Source organism: Homo sapiens, chromosome 11 (genome assembly GCF_000001405.40).
Source record: "Homo sapiens chromosome 11, GRCh38.p14 Primary Assembly".
NCBI lineage: Eukaryota > Metazoa > Chordata > Mammalia > Primates > Hominidae > Homo > Homo sapiens.
In genome coordinates, this window is record NC_000011.10 from 94,537,700 (window position 1) to 94,550,214 (window position 12,515).

General features: G+C 44.9%; 1 protein-coding gene and 1 long non-coding RNA gene across 3 annotated transcripts in view, besides 2 other annotated features; one reads left to right on the plus strand and one right to left on the minus strand.

Annotated features, from left to right (window-relative positions):
• The first annotated feature begins 6,221 nt into the window (after window positions 1-6,221).
• On the plus strand, window positions 6,222-12,196 carry FUT4 (fucosyltransferase 4). Its single transcript, NM_002033.4, has one exon. It carries the CDS (start codon window positions 6,435-6,437, stop codon window positions 8,025-8,027), a length of 1,593 nt encoding a protein of 530 aa, NP_002024.1. The 5' UTR covers window positions 6,222-6,434; the 3' UTR covers window positions 8,028-12,196.
• Window positions 6,410-6,979: a silencer, noted in NCBI's record as "silent region_3843". NCBI's record gives its function as "represses an Ori minimal core promoter by ATAC-STARR-seq in GM12878 lymphoblastoid cells {active_cell/tissue: GM12878}" and the evidence as "EXISTENCE:reporter gene assay evidence [ECO:0000049][PMID:35858748]".
• Window positions 7,633-12,515, minus strand: part of PIWIL4-AS1 (PIWIL4 antisense RNA 1) — a 195,024-nt gene continuing 190,141 nt past the window's right edge. Inside the window, exon 5 of one of the 2 annotated variants that reach the window (NR_135093.1) lies at window positions 7,633-8,147. This is a non-coding gene — a long non-coding RNA (PIWIL4 antisense RNA 1). Of the gene's footprint in view, window positions 8,148-8,491; window positions 8,627-12,515 lie in introns of those variants that run through there. The other variant, NR_135094.1, reaches the window with a different exon arrangement.
• Window positions 7,799-8,473: an enhancer, noted in NCBI's record as "H3K27ac-H3K4me1 hESC enhancer chr11:94278664-94279338 (GRCh37/hg19 assembly coordinates)". NCBI's record gives its function as "activates a minimal SCP1, AML or CMV promoter by ChIP-STARR-seq in primed H9 embryonic stem cells {active_cell/tissue: H9 hESC(primed)}" and the evidence as "EXISTENCE:reporter gene assay evidence [ECO:0000049][PMID:30033119]".

A 12,515-nucleotide genomic window follows, 5' to 3' on the forward strand; every position in this document is an offset into this window, starting at 1 on the left:
GGTGTGGTCAAAGAAGAATTACCTTACCTGTAGGGAAAAGACATCATTTCTCTATTTTCTTCCATGAAGCATGTCCTGGGTCTGTGTAAGAAATGAGGCCAGAAAAGGGGAGGAAGAGGGTACTCAAGATCCCTTCCTCCATCTGGAGAGAGTTGGTCTACCTCTCTGAGTTAGACTCTGGCTACCTTGAGTTAGGGTGCAGCCATGTAGAAGTACTGAGAGCAGGTACCACAGTAAGCCCAGACCACACATATTTGATTTTCTGAAACTGTACAGGATTTGTGCTAACTCATTTGAGGATTCAAGTAGACCTGGGATGGTGGCAAGGAACAGTGTTAGTGAATCTGGATTAGATCTGGGGAGGACAATGTGATAGTTACCATTTTTACCCTATACTTGGGTACCATAATATTTATCTTAATCATTATTTTATAGTCCAAATTCTTTCATATAAATTTTCATAAGTGCAGGAATTAAACTGTTTCATTAGTGCCTCAAGAAATGTAAAATAAATAGTGATGTTCATTCATTCATTAATTTATTTAATAAATATGTATTAAATATTTGTCAGGCATGTGCCAGGCATTGCACTGTATGATGTTAACATGTTTATCTCAATGTCAAAATAATTTTATTTTGTGTAAGCCTTGTATGCTATAATTTTTTCCACATGACTGAAAATAAACTCTATTTTAGGAAAAGGTAGTTTAATGAGAATGTAGAGGTAAACCCTTGAAATATTTAAAATATCATGAAAATACAGTCAGCCTCCATATCTGTGTGTTTCGTATCCTTGGCTTCAACCAAACTCGGATTGAAAACACTCGGAAAAAAAAAGGATGGTTCTGTCTGTACTGAACGTGTACACACCTTTTTTTTTTTTTGGTCATTATTCCTTAAACAATAGAGTATAACAATTATTTACATAGCATTTACATTGTATTAGATATTATAAAGTAATCTAGAGATTATTTAAAGTACACTGGATGATTGTGCAGGTTATATACAAATACTATACCATTTTATATAAGGGACTTGAGCATCTATAGATTTTCATATCCATGCGGGTTCTTCTACACTACTTTTGCAACCCTCAGTGTCTAAAGACCCTTCCCCATGCCTGATCTCATCTTCATGCTTGCAACTGAAAGCTAGTTCTTTCTGTGCAAATGGATATGGAAGGACGACTGCATTTCCGATTTTAACCAAAACTTCACTATGTCCATTTTTCTGAGCATCCACAATTCTTGCATTTCCTATTCTGTCAAGTAAGTGTACAGGAAGAACTTGAGTGCATAAAAAGTATAACACTAAAGTAAATATAATAAATTCCCATATTGACTATCTATAACAATTTCTTTTAGGGCCAGTACATTTTCACACTTAGATAAAAAGAAAAGCACTTACAAATTTATGTTAGGTTTATTTTTCTTTCTTTTTTTTTTTTTTTGACAAAGTCAGGCTTAAGTGCAGTGACATGATTTCGGCTCACTGCAACCTCCGCCTCCCAGGTTTTAGTGATTTTCATGCTTCAGCCTCCCGAGTAGCTGGAACTGCAGGCATGCGATACTACGCCCAGCTAATTTTTTTTTTTTTTGTATTTTTAGAAGACATAGGTTTTCACCATGTTGGCCACGCTGGTTTCGAACTCCTGACCTTATGTGATCTGCCCACCTCGGCCTCTCAAAGTGCTGAGATTACAGGTGTGAGCCACCGCTCCAGCAGTTTTATTTTTCTGTAAAAGATTTTGCAGGGCAATGAACAATAGATTGTGGGTGTCATTGATTGTACACAATTTTTGATTTTTTAACCAACAGTCCATTCCATACTTATCTGTCCAACTATGCAAGGTTAAAAAATTGTTCCTGACAAAGGAAACTGCCTCCACCTATTTGCACACAGATTAGCCATTCCAACCACACCTGCTCACTGACGCCCTCAGCATTTCCTGGTAAGTACACAATGTAGGAAGGGACTCAACTGCCTTTTTCTCTCTTCAAGGAAAAAAAATTAAAACATACTTAGCAGGCCAATGTTCAGACACAGAAATCTCAGAGCCAACCAAGGGTAACAACCCATTTGAGGGTAGCCTGAATCTCAGGGAGTTTATGCTGACAGAGCTTGGCTCCGCCTAGAAAGCTAGGCAGTCAGAACCTATTCTGGGGCTTCCATAGGAAATATCAAATCTGTCTCTGGTGAGTAACACTGGGAGAGCCTTTAAAATGAACTAGGATGGTCTTATTATCAAATGAACTATATCCTTGAGAAAGAATAAGGAATGAGTTCGAATTTTAGGAACCACAGTTGGCCTGGTTCTTGCTCCCAAAGAATTCTGTCCAATATAAAATTTTGGAACCGAATAGGTCACTTTTGGCATGTTGTGAGTTCATTGCTCATTCAGTGTCATAAATTAAGTCTTGAATTATGGAGCTCTCTTCTACACTACTTTTGCAACCCTCAGGGTCCAAAGACCCTTCTCCATGCCCATCTCATCTTCATGCTGGCAACTGAAAGCTAGTTCTTTCTGTGCAATATTTTGTGGAAACTGAGAGGCCTTTAAATGCACAAAGAATCATTTGTTACCAAATGTAAAAGAATCATGGACTATTCTTCCATGTTCGAAATCTAAGATGATTCAGAGTTCATTTAGTCCAGCCTCTTCATTGTAAGAATAGTAATATCTCCTTCCACATGGGTAGCAGACATGTTTTTGCCCACCTAGCATCCTTTCCCTCTTTTTCAGGTAACACCACCTCATTTTTTCTTTTGGGTAACTTCTCTCCCCGCACTGTTATTCAAGAATAACAGATTATTCCACATCTGTTATTCAGATGGGACTGATTCTAGCTCCAGAGGAGGGTCTAAAGAGAGTACCCATTCCCTGACCACAGTGATTGCTTCAAGAATGAGCACTCATCCCAGGTTTGGCCAATGACAGCAGTCTAATTTGATATCATTTCTGATGCCTGTTGCCAGGACTATGCTTAATACATGTACAATATTTTCCACTGAAAGCTTAAGGGACATTTCAAGGTCATAGCAAGTCATTCACATAGCCAAGATCTCCGGATGTCTTCTCATTTTGTAGTGGGGAAAGAGATACCAACAGATAATTTCGGTGATACATTAAGGGCATACATTCATTCAACAAATATTCACTACTAGAAACCTGGTTCCGTGGTGGGTGTTCAGGATGGAATTATGAATGAAACAGTCATGATCTCTGGATGTCCCATGATGTTCTGAAAGGTGCAGCATGTGTGAGAGTGCACAGGAGGGCCATGTAAACTACCCTGGATATATGTTTGTGGGTATCCAGAAAGGCTTCCCAGAGAAAGAAACCAGCCTCCTAAATCTCTCTGAATCTATCCTCCTTTAATTTTCTTCCTCATCCTCACAGCTACTGTCTCAGTTCAGGCCCTCTTTATTTCACATCTGAATTACAGCAATAACTTTCCAACTGCACACCACCACACCCCTACTCTTACCCTATTTTTACCCAACTCACTCTTTACTAATGACAGAATGATTTTTTCTTAGAAACTTTTTTCTAAAGTATAATGTCCACCCATAAAAGTACATATGTAAGCATACAGTTTGATGAACTTCCATAACCAAACACACCCATTAACCAGAGCCTACATTAACAGTCAGCATTCCGCAGCCCCCCCGTGTCCCCATCCATATACTCACCCTCCTTATACGTAATAAAAATAAGAATTCATTTTAAAAATGAATATCGCTTCCTTCCTTTGTTAAAGCCTTCCAAGGACTTTCTCGACAGCCTGCAGGATAAACACCATCTCCTTCGCCAAACTATACCCTAGTAATTCCTCGCCTACTGCCCCAGTCTTCCCTCCCTGGCCTCTGCAGTGCTGCTCCCTCTGTGGCAACTAACACCTCAGCCCTCTTCCTCTGCATTGTAATGATTCCTAATTATTCCAGGAGCCACCTCCTCAAAGCCTTCCATGATCCCTTCCCTCCCCACTATCTGTTTCTCTCGTAGATTTTTGAAGGTAGAAACCGTGTTTTGCATTTGTTTCCCAATTTGTTAAATGAACAAGTGAGTAAATTTATTAATTTCCCATAACTCCTTTCCTCCCTTTCCTTCTCCTCTACCCTACCAATGGCTCTTTTAAAATAAGAACAATCCAGTCCCCTGTGAATGTTTGTGCATGTATGAGATGCACAATGATCACGTATGACCTTCAACCAGCAATTTGCGAAGTCACGACTGGTTTCCATTCATCCAGACACACCTTACTACCTAGTATCCCCTCCTCCCACATCAAATAAGGGTATAGTAGGGGCAGTTTGTGGTCTCAACCCTACCGAGGTAAGAGGGCACAAAGAAAATTGATATGCATGAGACCTCGGGCATTCTTCAGGTAAAAAGATGGCTTAATTGGAACATTCGGAGGCTTAAGAGAAAATCGGGAGTGGTGGAAGGAAGCAATCAAGCAGGGTAATATTTCCCAAATGCCTACCGGCCACGTGCCAGACACAATGTTAGGCTCTATCTGTGATGTCTTATTTAACTGAAGAGGGAGAAGAATGTGAATAAATGGCTGGATTCTTGAATTGCATAAAAAGAGAAGCCAATACACTTTTTCCTTTATTTCGTTTAAACAAGTAATTTGTGCATTTATAGCTTTTTCTTTTAATTAAAAGTAAGAGTGGAAAAAAGTCACTGAAATGTCTAATTTCAAATAAAATATTTGATTTCTAATTTCTGTTTTTCAAACAAACAAAAAACCCCAGAAGCATTATGAAAGGTTTTACTGTGCAGGAGGAAATGTTACTAGGTTGATGGGCCTAGCCAGAACACCTAACATCCTCCATCTAGTCTCCAAACTGAGGCTGTGGCCCTGCAGAGAGCGCCACCCGGAAGCCACTTTTATAGAAGCTTTTACACACAATGCTTGATTTTTTTTTTTTTTTTTCCGAGACGGAGTCTCGCTTTGTCGCCCAGGCTGGAGTGCAGTGGCGCGATCTGGGCTCACTGCAAGCTCCGCCTCCTGGGTTGACGCCATTCTCCTGCCTCAGCTTCCCGAGTAGCTGGGACTACAGGCGCCCGCCACCAAGCCTGGCTAATTTTTTTTTATTTTTAGTGGAGACAGAGTTTCACCGTGTTAGCCAGGATGGTCTCGATCTCCTGACCTCGGGATCCGCCCGCCTCGGCCTCCCAAAGTGCTGGGAGTATAGGCGTGAGCCACCGCGCCTGGCCTATACTTGATTTTTAATGAAAACATTCTTAAATTCATATGGCTAACGCAAATTTATTTTCTGTAGGCATAACATCAAAAACACCTGGCAGGATTGCCCCATTCCCAGCACTGTCTATTTCTCCCCTAGTATCAGTGGGACTCCACTGATGCACAGCTGTGATCTACTAAAACTTCTCTCAAAACTTTCTCCTCTCCTTAGGTCAGCAGCCCCGCCCCTGATCTATTTGGAAATCCCCTGAATAAAAGTTGAATATCATAAACCAAAGCGAACACCCAGAAATTCAAATTCAACCCGTAGGTAAAAAATTTCTCAAGTGACTGTAGACGTAGATGTCTCCAGTGTCGCCTAATAAGGTAGAAGAGGCCAGTGCGATACTGTCTTTACACCCTTAACTTGGGTGCTAGAATATTTATCTTCGTCATCATTTTATCATCCAAACTATTTTGCATAACTTTCATGGGTGCAGAAAATGTTTTTTAAGTGCTTGGTAAAATTAATAGTGATATTCATTCATTCATCTCACTGAACAGGCAATAAATTCCTTGACGACAAGGGCCTTGGGGGGGTCACATCTTCATCTTTGGTTTATGAGTCCTGTGCGTCTTGGTACAAGCAATACTACTATGAGCCGGCAAGTCAGACTTATTTGGTAGGGGACCAAAGGAAAGAACATGTTTTGATTGCTAAGAAAACATTTTGTTCTCTATCCTTTACTGGGCTGGCAGGCAAAGGAAATGTTCTTATGAGCACTCACATTGAAAACTTAAGTTCTTCACCAAATGCAGAGACTCTGAAGGCCACGCCGCTGCGGGCTGCCTCCACAATTCGACCGTCTCGGCGGGCCACGAGATCCTGGCCACGGATGCGGTGGCCGCGCCTCTGCTCGCACGTTCCCCCGGCCTCTGGACTCCCTCCCTCCCTCAATCCCTCCCTCCGGCGGGCGTCGCTGGCGGGTGGCTAGGCCCAACGGCAGGAAGCCGACGCTATCCTCCGTTCCGCGGCGCCGGGTCCGCCTTCCGTCTGTTCTAGGGCCTGCTCCTGCGCGGCAGCTGCTTTAGAAGGTCTCGAGCCTCCTGTACCTTCCCAGGGATGAACCGGGCCTTCCCTCTGGAAGGCGAGGGTTCGGGCCACAGTGAGCGAGGGCCAGGGCGGTGGGCGCGCGCAGAGGGAAACCGGATCAGTTGAGAGAGAATCAAGAGTAGCGGATGAGGCGCTTGTGGGGCGCGGCCCGGAAGCCCTCGGGCGCGGGCTGGGAGAAGGAGTGGGCGGAGGCGCCGCAGGAGGCTCCCGGGGCCTGGTCGGGCCGGCTGGGCCCCGGGCGCAGTGGAAGAAAGGGACGGGCGGTGCCCGGTTGGGCGTCCTGGCCAGCTCACCTTGCCCTGGCGGCTCGCCCCGCCCGGCACTTGGGAGGAGCAGGGCAGGGCCCGCGGCCTTTGCATTCTGGGACCGCCCCCTTCCATTCCCGGGCCAGCGGCGAGCGGCAGCGACGGCTGGAGCCGCAGCTACAGCATGAGAGCCGGTGCCGCTCCTCCACGCCTGCGGACGCGTGGCGAGCGGAGGCAGCGCTGCCTGTTCGCGCCATGGGGGCACCGTGGGGCTCGCCGACGGCGGCGGCGGGCGGGCGGCGCGGGTGGCGCCGAGGCCGGGGGCTGCCATGGACCGTCTGTGTGCTGGCGGCCGCCGGCTTGACGTGTACGGCGCTGATCACCTACGCTTGCTGGGGGCAGCTGCCGCCGCTGCCCTGGGCGTCGCCAACCCCGTCGCGACCGGTGGGCGTGCTGCTGTGGTGGGAGCCCTTCGGGGGGCGCGATAGCGCCCCGAGGCCGCCCCCTGACTGCCGGCTGCGCTTCAACATCAGCGGCTGCCGCCTGCTCACCGACCGCGCGTCCTACGGAGAGGCTCAGGCCGTGCTTTTCCACCACCGCGACCTCGTGAAGGGGCCCCCCGACTGGCCCCCGCCCTGGGGCATCCAGGCGCACACTGCCGAGGAGGTGGATCTGCGCGTGTTGGACTACGAGGAGGCAGCGGCGGCGGCAGAAGCCCTGGCGACCTCCAGCCCCAGGCCCCCGGGCCAGCGCTGGGTTTGGATGAACTTCGAGTCGCCCTCGCACTCCCCGGGGCTGCGAAGCCTGGCAAGTAACCTCTTCAACTGGACGCTCTCCTACCGGGCGGACTCGGACGTCTTTGTGCCTTATGGCTACCTCTACCCCAGAAGCCACCCCGGCGACCCGCCCTCAGGCCTGGCCCCGCCACTGTCCAGGAAACAGGGGCTGGTGGCATGGGTGGTGAGCCACTGGGACGAGCGCCAGGCCCGGGTCCGCTACTACCACCAACTGAGCCAACATGTGACCGTGGACGTGTTCGGCCGGGGCGGGCCGGGGCAGCCGGTGCCCGAAATTGGGCTCCTGCACACAGTGGCCCGCTACAAGTTCTACCTGGCTTTCGAGAACTCGCAGCACCTGGATTATATCACCGAGAAGCTCTGGCGCAACGCGTTGCTCGCTGGGGCGGTGCCGGTGGTGCTGGGCCCAGACCGTGCCAACTACGAGCGCTTTGTGCCCCGCGGCGCCTTCATCCACGTGGACGACTTCCCAAGTGCCTCCTCCCTGGCCTCGTACCTGCTTTTCCTCGACCGCAACCCCGCGGTCTATCGCCGCTACTTCCACTGGCGCCGGAGCTACGCTGTCCACATCACCTCCTTCTGGGACGAGCCTTGGTGCCGGGTGTGCCAGGCTGTACAGAGGGCTGGGGACCGGCCCAAGAGCATACGGAACTTGGCCAGCTGGTTCGAGCGGTGAAGCCGCGCTCCCCTGGAAGCGACCCAGGGGAGGCCAAGTTGTCAGCTTTTTGATCCTCTACTGTGCATCTCCTTGACTGCCGCATCATGGGAGTAAGTTCTTCAAACACCCATTTTTGCTCTATGGGAAAAAAACGATTTACCAATTAATATTACTCAGCACAGAGATGGGGGCCCGGTTTCCATATTTTTTGCACAGCTAGCAATTGGGCTCCCTTTGCTGCTGATGGGCATCATTGTTTAGGGGTGAAGGAGGGGGTTCTTCCTCACCTTGTAACCAGTGCAGAAATGAAATAGCTTAGCGGCAAGAAGCCGTTGAGGCGGTTTCCTGAATTTCCCCATCTGCCACAGGCCATATTTGTGGCCCGTGCAGCTTCCAAATCTCATACACAACTGTTCCCGATTCACGTTTTTCTGGACCAAGGTGAAGCAAATTTGTGGTTGTAGAAGGAGCCTTGTTGGTGGAGAGTGGAAGGACTGTGGCTGCAGGTGGGACTTTGTTGTTTGGATTCCTCACAGCCTTGGCTCCTGAGAAAGGTGAGGAGGGCAGTCCAAGAGGGGCCGCTGACTTCTTTCACAAGTACTATCTGTTCCCCTGTCCTGTGAATGGAAGCAAAGTGCTGGATTGTCCTTGGAGGAAACTTAAGATGAATACATGCGTGTACCTCACTTTACATAAGAAATGTATTCCTGAAAAGCTGCATTTAAATCAAGTCCCAAATTCATTGACTTAGGGGAGTTCAGTATTTAATGAAACCCTATGGAGAATTTATCCCTTTACAATGTGAATAGTCATCTCCTAATTTGTTTCTTCTGTCTTTATGTTTTTCTATAACCTGGATTTTTTAAATCATATTAAAATTACAGATGTGAAAATAAAGCAGAAGCAACCTTTTTCCCTCTTCCCAGAAAACCAGTCTGTGTTTACAGACAGAAGAGAAGGAAGCCATAGTGTCACTTCCACACAATTATTTATTTCATGTCTTTACTGGACCTGAAATTTAAACTGCAATGCCAGTCCTGCAGGAGTGCTGGCATTACCCTCTGCAGAACAGTGAAAGGTATTGCACTACATTATGGAATCATGCAAAAGGAAAAAAAGTTTCATGATATCTGTTGTTGGCAGTTTTTGTTTATCTCTGACAGTTTTTAGTTAAATGTTTAGATCCTCAGAACTACATTAGTGCCTACTATTAACTTACTCTGTCTCTTGTTAAAGGCTAAATCTGCGCTTCTCCCTGGTGCCAGCAGGTTCCCCTCACAGTCAATGCAGTGGTATAGCATATCCTCACATTTCTAGTGCCCTTGAGACTGTGCTATGGAACCAATCTTGAACATACATGCATTGACTTGACAAGTTACTGAGTAAGCAGCATATTCAGCAGGTGCCACTACATGCCTACTCTGCCAGACACTGAGCTTGGGGCCCTAGGGAAGATAGAGAATTATACAAGGCAAAGTCCTTCTCTTTAGGGCTCTTACAATCTATCACTTCCAAAAAGTAAATGGTGACTGATAAAACAATTGGCAGAACCTGTTTGATTACTGTGACAGTCTTAATGATACCATAAATCAATATTAGAAAGCTAGTTGACTTAAAGCCTGAAATAATGGGAGTTTTCTCCTCCACTTATTAGAATAAGGACCCTCAGTGACTAATTATTGTGGGTAGGGTCAAGATTAACTAGTTTTATACAGAGTTCTGCTGTAAATAGTCATTTTGCATTTGATTAGTGCAGTTCTCTGAATCATAAAGCAAGTTTTACCTCTCTGTACATGTTTTTGCAGACATACTTGAAAAGCTCACTTAAATCTAGGTGCTTCAATTCACTTTCTTGAGAGGACAAATGAAAAGCTGTGGAGAAAATGTCCTCATTAAAGTATTAAAGTGTGGGCAGAATTACAATTACAAAGTGCCAGCCACCGAATAAAGATAAAAGTTCAGTTCTTAAAATGAGTTTTTATGAGATAACAGTCAGTGATCTTGGTGTTACCGGGATTCCACATGGGGCAGTGGGAAAGAGTTCAGGTTTTGAAGGTAACCTAGTTTAGATTTGAATTCCAGCTATGTGACATTGGGTAAATTAGTAGTAGTCCTGAGCCTCAGCGTCCTCATCTATAAAATGACTGGCGAAAATACTTCACAAGCTCATTTTGAGCACTTTAGGAAGTAAGTGAAAGTACCTAAAATAGCAGGCACCCAATTGATGATTTTATATCTTCCTTCTTTGCTTGCAGTGATTTCAGGATGTCCTCATATCTATTTATAGGTCTAAAATTATATCTTAAGGTATGTTGTAGAATAAATTAAAAGGATAATCTAAATCACCATTTAGATTAAGCTTGACTTGCAAACTAGGAAGAAGCACCTAGGCTTTCTTTGAAAATATTTTTTTGGTTCGTTTTGGTAAAGCTCTATAAATTGGTATCTATTATTTTACCAATTTTTTTTTAGTATTAAGTCCATTTAGAACTAACCATATTATTTATGGAATAATTAGCATGAGGAAGGTATAATTGCATTTTTTTTTTTTTGAGACGGAGTCTTGCACTGTAGCCCCAGCTGGACTGCAGTGGCGTGATCTTGGCTCACTGCAACCTCCGCCTCCCAGGTTCAAGCGATTCTCCTGCCTCAGCCTCCCGAGCAGCTGAGACTACAGGCGCCTGCCACCACGCCTGGCCAATTTTTTGTATTTTTAGTAGAGACTGCGTTTCACCATGTTGGGCAGGCTGGTCTTGAACTCCTGACCTTGTGATCCACCTGCCTCGGCCTCTCAGAGAGCTGGGATTACAGGTGTGAGCCGCCGTGCCCAGCCATTGCATTTTTATTCACATACACATTGTTAATGTGGAACAATTTAACACTAATCTCATCAGAGAGCGAGATGAATGTGGCAATTGCTCATTTTATTTTGCATATATTAAATTGAGTAGGTTCAGCTCTAACATACCTTAAGAAAAATGCATATCGGTGCACTGTATGTATTTCAAAATGCCTTTCCTATGATTGTCATGTCCTCCTTTAAGGCTTTTCCCTCAAATTTATTACAAATTTAGTATTTTTAGTACTTGATGACTCTAATTACATGAATGCACCTGGAATGACATTTGTAACAGAAGACGGTCTGACTTGCTTTCAGTATTCACAAGTTCTTTCCAGTTTCCAAGTCTTTTCCTAGCAGTAATTTAGGGGAGACAGAGGAGTTTCATGTAAAGAGCATGCAGTTTGGAGTCAGAACCTGGGTATGACTCTGTGGCCTTGATGAAGCAAGTTACTTAAACTCTTGAGTTTTAGCTTTCTCCTTTACAATGCATGAATGCCTATCCCCCTACAAAACAAAGATTAAATGTGATGATGTATGCCAAGGTGCTTTGTATATTGTAAAGTGCTATATAATTATAAGATGTTCTAAATTTTCAAGGATCTAAACCAGGGATTGGCAAACGTTTTTCCAGGGAGTAAATATTTTACGCTTTGCATATATAATTTATGGAGGTGTTGAGAGGATAGATTAGACACTTGAAGTACTCAGGATAGTGCCTGGCATGTAGGAAGCACCTGGAAAATATTCGCTGTGATTACCATCAGTCCATTTTACCGAGGAAGGAGCCAAGGTCCAGGCCCACTGAAGGACTTGCATAACATTACAATAGCAGTGGCAGAACCAGCCATGCTTCTGCAAATCACAACCTCTTTGAGCCTCTGTCACCTGAACTGCAAAATGAGTGGGTTAGACAAAATCATCTGTTGGGACCTCCTAGTTCCACGTGCTATCATTCTACTAACTGGCACCCTAAGGTTGAAAGTGCTTATCTGCTTTCCAATGTGGCTTCCTTACAGTCTGGAACTGACAATATGCAGGAGCAGTAAACTGGCAGAAAACCAGGAATCAGAGAAAGAAAATATAATTTAACTTTAAAGATGTAAATTATATATATAGTATATTATATATATTTTTAAAGCTTTATATGCCTCAAATATCAGGGAAAGGAGCCAAGTCCTTGGTATTTAGTTTGGTGAATACTTGCATTGAATACATGTCAAGATGTCAAGTCATTTTTGAATGTGTCTCAGGGATTTCTATGCTACACATTCTTTTAACAAATCAAGTATTTATGTACACATGTTCAGATTTTTTGACAAAATGATTAAAATAATGAGATGGAAAATGACTCTGTTTATAATGTATATCCTCCATGCACTAATGTGTTCAGTCGTCACCCATGGGATATTTCTTGGCTTGGGGCAGTTTCTGTAAGTTCACTAGTTCTAGATTGGTAATTGGAATGTGATGGCTTTGCCTCTTCTGTGTTGCACAAAGTCCAATTCAGCCTGTCCTCTTGTTCTTTCTTGCCTGTCTTTTCCACTTTATTCTGAGGAATCATCTCCAAGGGCATAAGTAGTATACTCCTTTCTCTCAGTCCAGTTTATTTTCCTGAGTGCTCTGATGTGATGCCCTCCATGTATTGTCTCTAGCTCCTGTTCACT